Source organism: Homo sapiens, chromosome 5 (genome assembly GCF_000001405.40).
Source record: "Homo sapiens chromosome 5, GRCh38.p14 Primary Assembly".
NCBI classification, from domain to species: Eukaryota; Metazoa; Chordata; class Mammalia; order Primates; family Hominidae; genus Homo; species Homo sapiens.
Genome location: NC_000005.10, coordinates 127,293,053 through 127,309,976, shown reverse-complemented (window position 1 = coordinate 127,309,976; position 16,924 = coordinate 127,293,053). Strand labels below are relative to the sequence as shown.

Here is a 16,924-nt window from a genome sequence, read left to right as displayed (position 1 = left end):
AAAGAAAGAAAGAAAGAAAGAAAGAAAGAGTTGGCAAGGATGTGGAAAAATTGGAACTCTTGTGCATTGCTGACGGAAATGTAAAATGGAGCAGCCACTGTAGAAAAACAGTATGGTGATTCCTCAAAAAACATGGAATTACCATATGTTGCAGCAATTCCCCTTCTGGGTATATATACCCAAAAAAGAATTGAAAGCAGGGAATTGAACAGATATTTGTACACCAATGTTCACAGCAGCACTATTCACAATACTCAAAAGGTGGAAATGACACATATGTCCATTAATGAATGAATGGATAAACACAATGTGGTATATACTACAACTGAATATTATTTAGCCTCAAAAAGCAATGAAACTGGCACATGCTACAACTTGGCTGGACTTTGAGGACATTATTTCTAAGTAAAATCAGCCAGTTACAAAAGAATAAATACTGTCTGATTCCATTTATATGAAGTACATAGAGTAGTCAAATTCATAAAGACAGAAAGTAGAATGGTGGTTGCCAAGGGCTGGAGTAAGAGGAAAATGGGGAGCTGCTATTTAATGGGTACAGAGTTTCAATTTGGGATCATGAAAAAGTTCTGGAGATGGATGGTGGTGATGGTTTCACAACAGTGTGAATGTATTTAAAATGCCACAGAACCACACATTAAAAATGCTGAATTGTATGGTATGTTATGTGCATTTTACCGCAATATTTTACAAAGTCTAAAAGCAAGCTAGTATTAAAGCGTAAGTAACAGATGTCTGCCCAAAAGGTGAGAACTCCTTGTTTACTTCTTTTCACTACTCATCTGCATGATTAAGACAGACATTCATGAATTCTTCCATGGATCACAAGGACTGCACATGGACTGGTAATGCAGTTGCTAGGACTTGAAAGTGGAAGGAGGCAAAACATAATAACAACAGTGTGATCCTGTGTCAGCCTGGTCTCTTCACCCCCTTCTCCTTGGGCCAGTGTCCCAGAATTTTACATCTCGTTACAGATGGCAATCCCTCCAGAACCCATACACAGAAACCAAAATAGAGCAATTTAACTTTCTCTTAACCTTTTATTTTAATTTTTTTGTATTTTTACTTTTATTTATTTTTATTATTTTTTTAATTATACTTTAAGTTTTAGGGTACGTGTGCACAACATGCAGTTTAGTTACATATGTATACATGTGCCATGTTGGTGTGCTGCACCCATTAACTCGTCATTTAACATTAGGTATATCTCCTAATGCTATCCCTCCCCCTTCCCCCCACCCCACAACAGGCTCTGGTGTGTGATGTTCCCCTTCCTGTGTCCATGTGTTCTCATTGTTCAATTCCCACCTATGAGTGAGAACATGCAGTGTTTGGTTTTTCGTCCTTGCGATAGTTTGCTGAGAATGATGGTTTCCAGCTTCATCCATGTCCCTACAAAAGACATGAACTCATCATTTTTTATGGCTGCATAGTATTCCATGGTGTATATGTGCCACATTTTCTTAACTTTAAGTACACGGAAACCAAAAGGGCGTCAAGCATTTCGCAGCCACTGTGCAATGTCAGAATTCCAGCTCTCGATGATAGCCTGCCTGAATTCAAACTGATTTGTTTGTTGAACTTGGAATATCTTAGGGATCTGGACCTGTTTGTGTTCCTTACGTTCTCAGAAAAGTTCTAAGGAATTTGAGGTTTTAAAGGAGTTTGTCTTTCTCAATTTCAATTCTTATTTCCCTAATTTGGATTTTCTGCATCATAACAAAGTCACTTTGATTTTGGGTTTTATTTTTCTCCTCTCTCGTAATTGCTAATGAAGTTAAGATTACAAAAAACAATGCTTTTTGAGTACAGAATGCAGATCTCAAGCCCTCCTGGCAGGTACTCCCACAGAGCAGTTGTTATTTATAATACCTACAGGGAGAAAAGAGCTTAAAAGATCAAGTCACGCTGCACTTCCCAACAAAGCAGGCCACAGCTGTACAACGGACTGTGAGCAACTGCTCCATGAGGGGACAGCGAGACTTCTGTTTTCCTACAGGGTCTGCTCAGGTCATCGCATGTGGCATGGATTAGAATCCCAGGGCTCTATTACCCCATGGAGGAGGACCGGGGTTTACACACCACACTCCTGAACCGAAGCTCTGTGCCATCAGGGTCTCTTGGCAAACAGAAAACAGACTTTACAAAATTTTTAAAGCCAACAATTTCCTTTTTTTAAATTTGTAAGTTCAAAATAAAAGAAGATAGCAACATTAATTTTTATACATGTTCCCAAAGATCTATCATGGTGGGTTGGAAGAAAATATCTCCATCATGGATAGAAGAAAATTTGAATTTGGTCTGAAGTTAGTGAAATTTTGAGACTATGCTAAAGTTGTATTTGAAGAGACATGTCAGTAGAGCTCTTTAGGCTGTGCCCTCACCATGAGCCAACATAGAGGAAGAGCACCCAGGGAAACAGCTGCCCCACAGATATTAGATATTAGTATTCATCCTCAAAATAAACACTTTCAGTCACACAGTCTTATAACTTCCATTCGGTGTGCAGCTCCGTGGCCAGGCAAAACATCTAGCCCAGGCGAAGCTGGGGCTCTGCCATAGCTTTTGCCAGTGATGAACCCTGCCCACCCCATTCTCACCACTCAGCTGCACCCCAACAGCCCAGACATGGCCCCAGAGGCTCCCTAGTCAAGTTCACAGGGTTGGGAAGGGACTTTTTGATCTCTTTGTCTTGTGAAGAAAGAAACTGAGGCACAGAAGAGTTTTTTCAGGTGTCTAACATCATATGGTGTGGCAAAGCTACAACTCAAGGCAAGGTCTTTAGGCTCCAGAGCCAGTATTTTTTTTAGTATTCTGGGTTATCTAACAGAACTCTAGGGGAGAAGCGTGCTCCTTTCACTCCGGAAGGATTTCTTTGTTGTTGTTTCATTCAAGGCCATGCCAAAGCAAAATAAAACAAACATTTTCATGGATTAGTGACATTGGCCTTGAAATCTGCATCACTGTCAATGATTTTCATTTGCTCCAGGATTAGAAAACATTAAAAAAATTACCTCAAGTTAATGCAATTCTAAAAGCAGGCAGCTAAGCTTGGCTCATGAGTAATGCTGGAATCTCAAACTCGGCTGATTCCACCACCCCCCACAACCCAGCATAAAGTACCTTTAAGATAAAACTTGAACTGAGTCAATGAAGCGAAACCTCCTAAAAGCATGTCTCTCCTTAGGTAGCTCCGCTTCGCCTGGACTTCTTTCCTCTAACCATGGGTTCCCCATTGGGCCTTCAACAAGGAATCTGAGGCCCAGCGCTAACCACCCGCGAGCATCTTCGCTTAGCTGCCAACAATGATGGGCCACAGTGAATGGATGGGATGGCCACTGCACATGGCTCTTTCTTCTGGGGCACAGCAGCTGGAGCCAAGCTGTGAGGCCCAGTCCCCTCCTCATTTCTGTAAGTGCACCATGGAAGACGGGCATGGTAGTTCCCAGCATATGCTAAATGGGTTTTGCTCTACCTGGAGTTTTACTTATGCTGGATCCAAATCCTAGACACAGATTGGGAAGTTGCTTGTTTTTTTTAAAGAACTGTTCCTTAGAACTCAGTGACAAACCTCGCCTGGCTTGCACAGACCTTTCTTCACTCACTAACACTTTGTTCTGAAAATCTGCCTGTCAGGACTTGGTTGCCATCCTTCTCAGCAGTGACATATTCACCATTAAAGGAAACAGAGAGGGCACAGTCAGCCACTAACCCATGAAAACACTGTAGTCTCTCTTATGTACCAGTGAATGGATCCACACGGCACCGGGGCCCTAATTACATGGCCTCATTTTTGTAAATAGCACAACCTGGCCAAGAAATGAAAAATGGTCTTCCAAATTCTCTAGCTAAGCAGAAAACTCCTTAGGTTAAGCTACAAGAAACCTTCCTTGGGTGAAGAGTTAATGTCTCAGTTAATGCCTGCCACACCTGAACTCTAGAAAAAGTCAGAAAGATCAGAGTCCTGTCCTTTAGGGAAAGAGCTACACATAAGCACATGCTCGAGCTTCTATAAACAGATTAAGGTGATCACTTTCTGAAGATATTTGGCTTTCATAGCAATGCAGTATAATTCAATATCTTCAACCAAAGATGATTGTGCAGGGAGGTGACAACTAGACCTAGATGGTTAGCTTATAGGATATTCATAATCATAAAAATCAGATTCTATAGCAGCCATGGACTTTAGTGAGGCACTCTAAACCATCCCCGGTGGCTGCACAAACAAAACAGCATTTACATACTGCCTTGGAAGGAAAGCAAGGGACTTTTTTTTCCAGCCCTAGCTTGGCAGAGCTCCACATCACAAGCTTTTTTGTCTCTGTTTTTGCTTTGTTGTTTTTTTTAATGGCGGAAGAAAAGTGCCTTTGCTTCAGGTTGGCCTTCACCAAAATAAAAGTGGACCATCTGGCTTAGCTATAGTGAGGAACTCTCCACACCTGAATCCTTGGCTGGGTTCAGGCACAGTCATCACTCTTCTGGAAGCAGGATCTCTTGGGTGCAAGGAACCACCTCACATGTCTCCTAGGCTAGGTGAAGTGTTTCCTCACTGGCAGGCCTCTGCTACTCAGCCTCCCCTCACACTTTCACCCCCTCAAATCTGGGTGCATCCTATGAACACACAGCTATGAGGCCAATTGTTCAATAACTAAAAGTCTGAAATACAAACTGTCCAGACTCTTTCCTTACCTCATATTCTCCGACGATGGTTCTCACTAGTTTTGATCTATTTCACTGCTCATTAGCACCTCCTCTAGAGGAAAAATGAGTCTTGGGGGAATTTTAACCAACAAATTCTGTAACCTTTTGGCCTCACTAATGTATGATAGGAAATAAAGTCAACATTATCCATTTAAATGAGTATTAGGACTGTGGGTTAGGTTCAGTTTTTCATGTTTTTCTTATGTCACCACAATTCTGAATAATCTTGAAATTAGGTCCACAAATACTCTTTTAATGTTTTCGTCTGCTCAGGCTGTTAACAAAATACCATAGACAGGGTGGCTTAGCCAGTAGAAATTTATTTCTTATGGTTCTGGAGGCAGGAAGTCCAAGATCAAGGTCCTAGCCAATTTGGTTTCTGGTAAGGGCTCTCTTTCTCAATCTCTTTCCACAAGCTTCGAGGCATCCTTCTGAATACACTCATAGGAACACACCTCCAGGCCAGTTGCAGTGGATCACCCCTGTAACTCCAGAACTTTAGGAGGCCAAGGCGGGTGGATCACTTGAGGTCATGAGTTCGAGACCAGCCAGGCCAACATGGCAAAACCCTGTCTCTACCAAAAAATACAAAAATTAGCAGGGCATGGCGGCAGGCACCTGTAGTCCCAGCTACCTGGGAGGCTGAGGTGGGAGAATCACTTGAACCCAGGAGGCAGAGGTTACAGTGAGCTGAGACGATGCCACTGCCCTCCAGCCTGAGCGACAGAGGGAGACTTTGTCCCAAAAAATAATAATAGTAAACAAAAAAAGAACATACGTCCTGATAGTTGTTCTAGTTGGCTATTTCATCCCAGCTCATGGAAAGGGGCACAGAGGCACAGAGAGCTGAGGAGGCCCATAGCCCTTATGATGTGGTAACACAAAGAAATTAAATTCAAACTATGGCTTCTCCAGAGGGAGACTAGATGTCCTGAGGTCAGGTCACCTCTCAGGCTCTCTCAGGCCAGGATGCTTCAAAAGACTTCTTGATTCAGGGTCTAGAAGGAGCATTATCTAGAAGCTTCTGCCCAAAACAAGACCAGAACTGTGGTCTGTTGGAAAGAAGAATTTTGCAGCTTGCCTGAATTAGGAAGGCAGAGTTTGTATGCTAATTAATTCAACAAGTTCAATGTCCAAAATCATACAGCATATTAAGGAGAGCTCAGACCTGAGATACAATATGCCAGGATTCTGAAATAGACTCACTCAGTTAAAAACAGAAGTGACCTAGACAAATCCTTGAGTAGAAATTAAAATCTCAGATACAAAAAACAAGAAAGCCCTACTGAGCATTTGCTATATGCCAGGTACTATCCTAAGTCCTTTTCATTTATTTTCTCAATTAAACTTCATAACAGCTCTATTAAAGAGCTAACATAATTATCCCCTCTTAAATTATAAGGAAACTGAAGCATAGAGTAACTGTTTCATGGACATACATTCAGTTAACAATGGGGCAAGCCAGGATTCAAAGCCAAGAAATCTGATTCTAGGACCCATACCCCACTACATTCTAATACATCCACACCTTAACTTTTCAACTACATTTGTCCACTGGACATAGAAGTCAATGCTTGAAATGTGTACTAGAATGCAACTCCAGGAGGGCAGGAAATGTGTTTAATCTTAGATATTGCCCTGTCCCTAGCATAGAAGATTGCATGGAGTATGAGGGCTCAATCAATATTTACTGAATAAATAATGATGGGTTGTGTTGCAATTAGTGAAATTACTGCAATAGTCTCCTTATTGTCTTCCCCATTTTTATTTCATTTTCTGTTTTTATTATCAATGATAAGCCTTTGCTATCTACTGCCTGGTGAATTTAACTTAAGCACTGGCAGCCGGGTTTCCAGGACTTCCCTACTTGGCTCCAACCTACACTTCCAACCTTATTGCTTTTTTTTTTTTTTTTTTTTGACATGGAGTCTCGATCTGTTGTCCAGACTGGAGTGCAGTAGTGCAATCTCGGCTCACTGCAACCTCTGCCTCCTGAGTTCAAGCGATTCTCCTGCCTCAGCCTCCCGAGTAGCTGGGATTATAGGCGCACATCACCATGCCCAGCTAATTTTTGAATTTTAGTAGAGACTGGGTTTTGCCATGTTGGCCAGGCTGGTCTCAAACTCTTGACCTCAAGTGATCCGCCCACCTTGGCCTCCCAAAGTGCTAGGCTTATAGGCATGAGCCACTGCACTGACCCCAACCTTATCTCTTGATATTCCATTATACAAATCCTTTAGTCTGGCCATCCCTGCTTGTCCTTGCCCATACTCCTCTCCCTCCCCAGGGCTGTACATTTCTGCCATTGGGGTACTCTCTCCTCTTCTGTGATTACACAAAGCTCACAAATCTTTCAATGTCCCATCTCTTCCAAGAAGCCTTCTCTGGTCACCAAATCCGATGATCTCTCCTTCTGAGACGGATTCACTTGGAACAGATTACCTGCTTCCTCCTCCTTTCCTTTCCTCATAAACAGACTGGCAAGGCGCTGAAGGCTGCATCTTGCCATTTTTGGCATTCTCCTCAGTATGCAACAAAGGCTTGCCTCATAGCACACACGTGACCAGGGGTCAACTGATCTATGCAGACACATCTCACCTAAATGCAAACATCTGCTGATTTTTTTGAGATAACTTTTTTAACCTTTAAAAAATTTGCATAACCAAACATTCATCATTTTAACCCTGTTGTGCAACCATCATCACTATCTAGTTCTGGAATATTTCCATTGTCCTAAAAGAAAAAGCCATGCCCATCAAACAGTCACTCCTAATTTTTCCCTTCCCCCAGACCCTGGAAATCACTAATCTACTTTCTGTCTCTGTTGAGTTGCCTCTTCTAGATATTTTATATAAGTGAAACCACACAATATGTGGTCTTTTGTGTCTAGCTTTTTTCACTTAGCATAATATTGCTAAGGTTCATCCATGTTGTAGCATGTATCATACATACTTCATTTCTTTCCATGACTAAATAATATTCCATTCTGTAAATATATCACATTTTGTTTATCCCTTTATCAGTTGATAGACATTTGGGTTGTTTCCACCAAAAATAATAGTTTTGGCTGTTGTAAATAATGCTGCTAGGAGCATTTGTACACAAGACATTGTTTGAACACCTGTTTTCAATTCTGTTGACATCTTACTAAGGAAAAACAAATTCATTCACTAGCAGCCTCATCCTAATTCTATAGTTAAGATAAATAATTTTTTGTTTAGTAACATACTATCTTAAAAGACATTTATGCTTATAAGTAAATTTAACTGTTTTGTATTCCAAAATATTGTAAATTCCTTATAGTTTATGCCTTCTATCAGAGACTACATTTTCTAACGTCTGCATTTAATTAATAGAATCTTATTTAAGCATTTGAACGATTCTTTCATGAGAAGCAGACCTGATTCCTAGATGTGTTAATTATTCTTCCCTATTTTAACATTACTTGGTGTTAAATAATAATAACTAATATATATTGAGCATTTACTATGTGCCTACCACTATGCTAAATGCAACAATCTTTGAAGTATATGCTATTATCTTTTCACATTTGATGAAAAGAGGCTTTAGAGAGCTTGAGTAGCCTGCCCAAAGTCACCAAGATGTCAGTGGTAGAGAAGGGATTCCAGCCCAGTTTGTCATACCTCATACAGTAAATGACAAGGTCAGCAATAGACCCAGAACATCAGAATCTTGTCTGTTAACCCACAACTTTAATCACATGTGTTTGTGTAAATCAACATCCAACCTGTAAGTCCAATGGCCAAAATGAAGGGTACACATTTAGTACTCAGACCTCTCATAGATGTGCTGCACCCATTTCAAAGCGAAGGGCCCCAAACTCTCTTTTGGAGAAAAAAAAAATGCTCCTATTTTCTCCATTTCAGTCTACCAACTCCATATTATAAAAGCAAGCTGGAATGTTCTATCAGTACAATGACTCATGGCTCACTTTAGTATAATATATGCAGCGCCACACTGATGGAGGACAAGGGTCTTCTCAAGAGAAAAAGGACGACAGGTTGTTCTGGGACTGGAAGCATGGGTTTGCAGGTATTGCTCCTGTGGCTCACTGAGGAGCTCAGGAAGTGTCAGTGGAAATGAGTGACGGAGATAAGCCAAAGACTTCACCCCTCATATCAACTCATCCCAGTTAGAGAAATCGGAGGGAAACAAAGCATTCCACTATTAGACCATAAGAGAGATGTCATCCAAAGATTCAGGAAAACATCCATAATCCATAGAGTCTTCTTCTGATTTCTCCTGACAGACTAAAATGAGTGAAAGGAGGGTGGAAAGTGGGAATGAAAAGATTTGCTGCTTGGCCAACTTAGAGAGGTGCATTTGTTTTAGATTCTAAAGAGTGGGGCTCTGCTAACACTATTGATCTCTTAGGCATTGGAGTTGCTGCCTAGAGAAGTAAAGCAATCACCTATGATGGTGCTAATGCATTGCATTCTGACACACAGCTCTCTGACTGTAGAAGTAAGGGTGAATTGATGGGTATTTAAAGCTCTAGGCCCTCCCAGCTGCACCAGGATTCAAATTATGTGAGAGTTTCCAGTTTCCCATCATGATAGATCCTTAATTCTACATTAAACATGGGGCTTTAATTTTTGAATTTTTTATTGAAGTGTAAAATGCAGACAGAAAAAAAGCCATAAATCAAAACTGAACAGGTCAATAAGTTTTCACAAACTGAACATACCCATAACAACCAGTGCTTAGATTAAATGTAATGTCAGCATCCCAGAAGCCCTTGTTGGGCAGGACCCTTATTCTGACACAAAACTAAGTCCCATTAAGCATCCTATGCCTACAAAAGCATTTAGTATTATATATACTACTTGGGACACAAACAACAACAGTAAAAGGGACCATTTAACTTTCCTATTTTTAAAAAAAGTGCTGTACCTACACAGAACTTCAAGGATAGCACAGTATTCGGGCCTGGAAGCATTGAGGGCAAGCCTCTCTATATCACACAAATGGGGAGCCAAATGAACAGGCCTAATGGCAACAAATTGAAAATTAATGAACTAATCAGGAGAGTGTTTAGCACAGTCCTTTCGCCACCCACGAAGTCTCCTCTTCCCATTCTCCACTTCAAAGTCATCTATATCATTGGCAAAACCATTTAGTAAAGAAGAAACAAACTGTAACAGAGGGGGGGAATGAAAACATAATGAAGAAAATAAAGCTACTTGCCTCTCTGAAATCCGCTTGCTTCTCCTTCTTTAATGGATTTGCAATGATAATCTATAATCAAGGTACAATGACAGACATAATTACTAGGAGCTCTAAGTGACCTCAAGCAAATCACATATTGCCCTCTCCTGGACACAAACCTCTTATCTCAGAGACAAAAGGATTCCTACTGGCCAGGGAACACCAGCTGCCTAACACTTGGTGTAAATGGGCTCTCCAGAACCCATCACGTCCAGAAAAGGCTTTCCCTGTTCTGCCTCATTCAAGTCTGTATTCTGTGCCTAACTTAAAAAAAAAAAAACAAAAAGGAAAGAAAAGAAAAGCCACCTACAAGTATCCACAGGAACTAGGAACTAAGTCTCCCTTTGAAAGAAACCCAGAGGCAAAGGCTGAATGAATGACATACTTTTTCATAAAGGGAGTAATCAGGCTAAAAGAACAATCCTGTGGAAAAAGTCTGTGACCTTTGCAAAGGCTGTGACCTTGAATTTGAATCTTCTTCTGACACAAAGAATGTAAGCAATTGTTGGGCTCAGGATTAGATTTTTACAGGAAGTTTGCAACCCTTTCCCTCCAGGGCTAGAATCCAGTTTGAAAGTTAGGGGTGAGGGAGGGTATCTAGATGGCATCTGGAGAGTCCCCCAGCCTCATAACTGTCCAAACTTATCAATAACTTTCTAATGGCACTCATTGTATTTCAGACTCAAAAAATTCTTAGCTTCAAAACAGCTATCTAGATCTGGAAGGGAATTATTAATATATACACAGTGACCATTCCCAGGAACACAGAATTGTTCTCTGAAGTCATAGACCTTGATTTAGGCAGGCTTTCAGATCAGGTACCTTTGATGAGCCTGGGGACACAGGGAGGCTTTTTTATTTTTTAAATCAGTAATAAAATCCTGCAATCAGATAAGTCCTGCAATCAGTGTGACGCAGTAGAAAATAATTCTTCCTTGGCCAAAGATCCACTGGCTTTTTGACAGACTTGTGTTCCCCCAACGCCATGTCTGCAGCTCCAAAACCAGAGGATTAATGATGCTTCCTTGGAATTACTTTTTTCCTTCCCAGATCCTACCTCTGACACATTGCTGCAAGTAGTTTAACTGTGGAAGGCCTTGACCTCCTTTCTTTGTCTCTCTGATTTAAGTGTGTCTGTTTCCTTGGGGCTACCAAGCTCAGTTGGACGGCTGGCCGCAGCAGAATGGCACATCAGCCAACCCCTGAACAATGGGTCCTTTACTCCGGCTGTCACATGAACAGCGTTGTGTTACAGCCATTGTCCCTTCAAGTAGAGAGGAGAGGCATGGGTTCTCACAGACCAGCTATTCTCTGTGACCCCCTCTGGCCAAGTCACTAAAATTTAAAAACACACAAAAAAGGCATGCCTTTTGAATGGGGCACTATAAGTCCAACAAGGATTATCATGCATATATGGGCCACCTGCATCAGCACACCTTGTTAAAAATACACATCCTGGGACCCCACTACGCACCTACCGAATCAAAATCTAGGGAGGAGCCAGTATCTGCAGGTGATTCTCGTGCCTCTGAAGTCAGAGCACAGGGTAAACATGCCTCAAGCATTTCTAACCTCACTCATGGTCTGATTTTGCACATCTGTTTAAGGAACCAGCTGAAAGCAGGGAGGATACTGGAAGGACAAATACTTTATACTGTGGTTATCAAATCTTAGTGTTGGGGGAAAAACACCTGAGACGAAGACAGGTGAGAACGATGAGGGCTTCAGATGATAATAGGAATGTGGGTGTGGGTCATCAGTGAGCAAGAGAGGAGGAGTGCAGGGACAGCAGGACAGCGCTGAAGCCACCTGGTGGAGGTGGTAGCCTTCAGAAAAAGATGGGCGGTGAGAAAGTGGCAATGGTAGGATGAACTGTTAGAAAGCAAGGATGTTTAACATTTAGTTCTAAGTGTTAAGATATGAACTCTTTCCATAGTCCCAAACCTTAAAATTCTAAACACTCAAGCCACACATTTGGTGGCATTTTATGAAGTGAAGGTTATTCGTGGCTGGGTGAGTGGCTTCGGATCATTTTAAACTTCTTAAGGGAAAATATGAATTCAGATCCAGGTGACACTAGAAGAAACATGAGCCCTGTCTCCGTCTCTAGCCCCAAGAATCCCATAGTGGTTGAAAGGAAGAACAGTTTTCTCATTTTACACCTTCTCATGGAATAGGGAGGAAGATTTCTAGCCAATTTTTACTTGAATCTCAATAGGTCCCCCTAATCCCATCTAGTTTCTATAAAATAACTGCAGTGTAATGTGAAGGGTTCCTTTAACGCAGATAGTACTATGGGGATGGGCAGGTCCTGTAAGTGCCTATTATAAAATTATTCTCAAATGTAAACTCACCACTACTATGGAATGGTTTAATCACTATTGCTTGAAGATGCTTTGTAAATTCCTGCCACCACATGTTTGCTGAGCCCATTCCCCCACCTAAGATGCCCCATCCATTCAAATCTCTCCTTCAAGGTCCCACACTGCCAGGAAGCCTCCAGTGAGCTCTTGTGGCAGCTCTCAAAACTGCCACTTGGCTCTTACTATACCCAGGCTTACCTGCTCAGTTGTTGTTTTTTTTTTAATTGTTGAGGGTACATAGTAGATGTATATATTTATGGGTTACATGAGATATTTTATATGGGCATGCAATGTGTACTTTTTTAGTCTGTTTTTTCCTCGAAGGCAAGAGCTTCTTGGTAATTACACATGGTATTTTCCCCTATGCCCTACACAGCTAATAAATATCTGATAAACAGCCAGGTGCAGTGGCTCATGCCTGTAATTCCAGTACTTTGAGAGGCTGAGGCAGGCAGATCACTTGAGGTCAGGAGTTCGAGACCAGCCTGGCCAATATGGCAAAACCTCGTCTCTACTAAAAATACAAAAATTAGTCAGATATGTTGACACATGCCTGTAATCCCAGCTACTCGGGATGCTGAGGCAGGAGGATCACTTGAACCCCAGAGGCGGAGGTTGCAGTGAGTTGAGATTGCGCCATTGCACTCCAGCCTGGGCAACAAGAATGAAACTCCACTTCAAAAAACAAAACAAAACAAAACAAAAAAAACTGGTGGAACAAAAAGTAACTCTCCAACCTATTACTTTTTTAAAGAACCAAGTCACATATTTTTTATCAATTCTTCATCCAAACTCAAGTACTTTTCTCAAGATGTCAATAGGGGTGGATATTTAAATTTTTTTGTTTTGATTGTAGGATTAGTCTTCTGTGCCACCAAGCAAAAATTTCATAGTTCTATTTCACTCTGTGAGGAACAAGTTAAATTTGTGTGTTTTAGTTTTCAATTTGCCATCAAAAATTATTTTTTAAGAAAGCCAAAATTCTTCAGCAGAAGGTATTCAAAAGATCCATCTTGGGAACCACCACCTGTGGCTATGTTGAGAAACAGCCAAATCTGTACAGCTCATCTGGGTCAGATGAGACATTAATGACAAGGCACTTAGTCATCCTCTAGGATGTTCCCAAAGATAAGATGTTTTTAACAGATGCTAATATCCTGCACATGTACCTATCAAGATGAGGTTTTCCATACTGAAATACTGTTTTCTTTGTCTTAGAAGTGGGAAGGGGTACAATTTATTGCCCTCTAAGTAGGAAATTGAGGTGCTTAAATGCTTTACATAGTTTCTTTATCTAGGAGTATAAATCACTAGAAATGAAATAAGAGAGGAAATCACTAGAAATGAACAACCATAATAACAGGATGTATTATCACATTCACACTTTCCAGATTGGCTAATGCCACAGAGTTTGCATTATCAAATAACATCCACACAGTGACTTGCCATTCCACAAATAAAGTTCTATAAAGTAAAATAACATTGGTTTGTACCTTCTTTTTCCCTCATAGTATGAGAAATCCTTTTACTAAATGCTCTAAATTAGTCCTCTGCAATAACTATATTTAAAAAGAGTTAGAATGATCATGGTGAACAATAATGCAAAATGGTAAAGAGAGACAAAAGGTAAATTAAAAATTTCAGGACATTCAGATATGAAGAATGAATGAATGACTGAATAAAGAGATTAGGAGAGCAGTTAAAAGACTTCCAAAGGTTGGCAGAAAATGATACAGGCTTATGCTAAGCTAGAAAAAGTTCATTTCAGAAACATAATTTTAAAAGAAGACAAATCAACAGAACCCAGTGAATCTTGTATTAATTCTTAAAACTAAACTAATTATTAAAACCAGATACTGGGTACACACCCTTGAGAAACTGAGAGTAAAGGCAGTCCTCAATATTGCTTCGTTTGAAGTCCATCAATGTGGATATTTGTACTACATCTATTGATGCTACTACCTCCCTGCCCTGTGTCATGATGACACTCAGATGCCAGCTAATGAATGAACTTTTTATGTTGTTTATTTTATGGTGCAGCTGCCCTAAGCCAATAGTTCAATTTTTGCAGAATCACCATCCTTGTCATTACCCAGAGAATTATTCATTCACTTATTCAAATGTTACTGCATATTTTCATTATTACAAAAAAGTGAATGGGAAATGGGAAAATTAAAAGCCTAATAGTAATTATGAGAAGTGTTTGTCTCATAAACTAAGTAAGACAAAGGTAGAAGTTATTAGACATGCCAAAAATGGCAAATCTTTTCATCTGAATCAGACATTTATTGAACTTGAGCTGGTCAACTGTTATTGAAATGAGGAGAAAATAACCAAAATTGTGTAAAGTTTAAAGAAAGAAAAATTAGAAAATGGAGTATACACTGAATGCTGTGTCTAAATAGCAAGATATAATTAGAGATTTCATAATATATTTGGCTTTCTATGGCCAGAATCCCCTATAATATGTAGGCTTTTATACAATCTTCAGACCTATTTTCAGGAATGTGTCCTTTCAGGAAAGAAGGAAAGACAGTATTGAACCAGTCACCATGTTTCTGATCAAATACAAAAACAGAAGCAGAAGTGTTTTATAAATGGAAAAGCACAGAGCAAAGTTGGTTTTTATTGGCATTGGCACTTCCTTTCCAGTGCTCTGACACGTCATTCCAAAAACCAAACCAAAACCATCCTAAAGGATAAGCTCAGCTCTTCATTATACTGCCTGCAATAATGTTCAACATGTAACATTAATTCAGTGGCATTTGGTGTTTCATAAGTCCTCTTAGGATATTCTGTCTTGTCCTTTTTCTACTCCAAGTTATTTATTATTATTATTATTATTATTATTATTATTATTATTTGAGACAGAGTCTCACTCTGTCACCCAGGCTGGAGTGCAGTGTCGCGATCTCAGCTCACTGCAACCTCTGCCTCCCAAGTTCAAGTGATTCTTGTGCCTCAGCCTCCCAAGTAGTTGGGATTACAGGTGTGTGCTACCACTCACGGCTAATTCTGGTATTTTTAGTAGAGACAGGATTTCGCCATTTTGGCCAGGCTGGTCTAGGATCCCTGGCCTCAAGTGATCTTCCCACCTCAGCCTCACAAAGTGCTGGGATTACAGGCGTGAGGCACCATGCCCAGCCCCACTTGAAGTTATTAACTTCCTAGGCTATGTCTAGCCAAACTGGAAATTCCCAACTGGCTTTTCCACACCCTCCATATGTATACAATACTGTCCCAACCACTTTGTCTGCTAAGAAAATGTTGACTATCATTCATCCATTTACTTTTCTCCAACATTCTCTAGGCATTTATTCCATAACTACTATGGGCCAGCCACTTGTATAAGAGCTTACAATAAGGAATGATGAACTCACCAATCTGTTAGGGATAAACATTCAGATAATAAATATGGCTGATACAATGTGATTATGCTATATTAAATCTATCCACAAGAATGGGAACTCGCATGAGATATCGCTAAGTTTATGAGATAATTGGGAAAAACTTCAGAGGGAAAGTCTTCAAAGGGATTTGAATAGTGTCTTAAAAGATGAATGGGTGGTAAGTGGTTGGTTAGACAGGAAAGAGGGTCAAAGACATTTTCAGAGGAAGGAACAGCATATACAGCTGGGTCATGGAAGAGTGAAAGTGCACAGCGTATTCTTGAGATAGTAACAAGATCAAGATCAGTGGGAGCTGGAGAGCTGGGGACCAGAGAAGCAGAAAATAACCCTGAGAAGTGCTGCAAAGGTGGTCTTGTGTATAGCGGTAAGGAGGTGAGACTTTATGCTGTAAGCCAGTGTTTCTCCAAATGTGATCTGACGTCAGCTTTACCAGGTTCACCTGGAGATCTCAAAATGCAGATTACTGGCCCTTACTTCTGGGGTGAAGCCCTGGAATCTATATTTTCAACATGCACCCAGGTAACACTGACATTCACCATCCAGAGAGCTGCCAAAGATTTTTAAACAAGGGAATAACATGATCAGATTTGCATTTTAGAAATACACTATTAAACCAAGCAGACAATCACAAAGAAGGTAAATTCACTGCTGCTAAATGAGCATGTGACTTGAGTTTTGCATTAGAATCACCTGGGGAACTTGTAAAAATGCAGACTTCTCACAACTCACAGAAGACTTACTACTTCTAAATCAAGGCAGAAGGGATTAGGGTTTGTATAGTTTGAACCATACAAAATTGCCATTTATTTAGGTCAAAAATGGTCAAATATCAGCAATTTCTCATAGTTCACTCTAATATTTTAACAAATCTCCCCACTTCATGCTTCTGGTATAAACCAAAGTCTGAGAATAGTGAAAGACAGACAGAGATAAACGCTTTTCCCTTTTCATTAATTATCGATGTTGTTACTCACTTTGATGAATATGCAAAGATGGAAGTAACGTAATTTATGTACCTAAAACAAATGTTAAAAGAGAAAAGTGGGGGTTCAAAAACAGCCACCAATGAAGTAAGGCAGCTAATTTAAGGATTTTGGAGCCAGAAGGAACACTGGAGGTTATTCTACTCTTTCCCCACCTCTCAACACAAGTTTATACATAATAAAACTGATGCCTAAATGGAGAAAAGCAATCTGCTTG

The 16,924-nt window shown here is 40.3% G+C and overlaps 1 protein-coding gene across 6 annotated transcripts in view, besides 1 other annotated feature; it reads right to left on the bottom strand.

The window, feature by feature from the left end:
- The window catches only part of MEGF10 (multiple EGF like domains 10), a 231,923-nt gene that overhangs the window by 151,246 nt on the left and 63,753 nt on the right, over positions 1 to 16,924 (bottom strand). For 2 of the 6 annotated variants that reach the window (NM_032446.3, NM_001308119.2), the window contains exon 2: positions 9,931 to 9,981. The exons of the other annotated variants lie outside the window; for them this stretch is intronic. The gene's annotated coding sequence lies outside the window, so the exon portion shown is untranslated. The remainder of the gene's footprint in view (positions 1 to 9,930; positions 9,982 to 16,924) is intronic. 6 annotated transcript variants of the gene reach the window in all.
- Positions 1,477 to 2,105: an enhancer, noted in NCBI's record as "OCT4-NANOG hESC enhancer chr5:126643564-126644192 (GRCh37/hg19 assembly coordinates)". NCBI's record gives its function as "activates a minimal SCP1, AML or CMV promoter by ChIP-STARR-seq in naive and primed H9 embryonic stem cells {active_cell/tissue: H9 hESC(naive and primed)}" and the evidence as "EXISTENCE:reporter gene assay evidence [ECO:0000049][PMID:30033119]".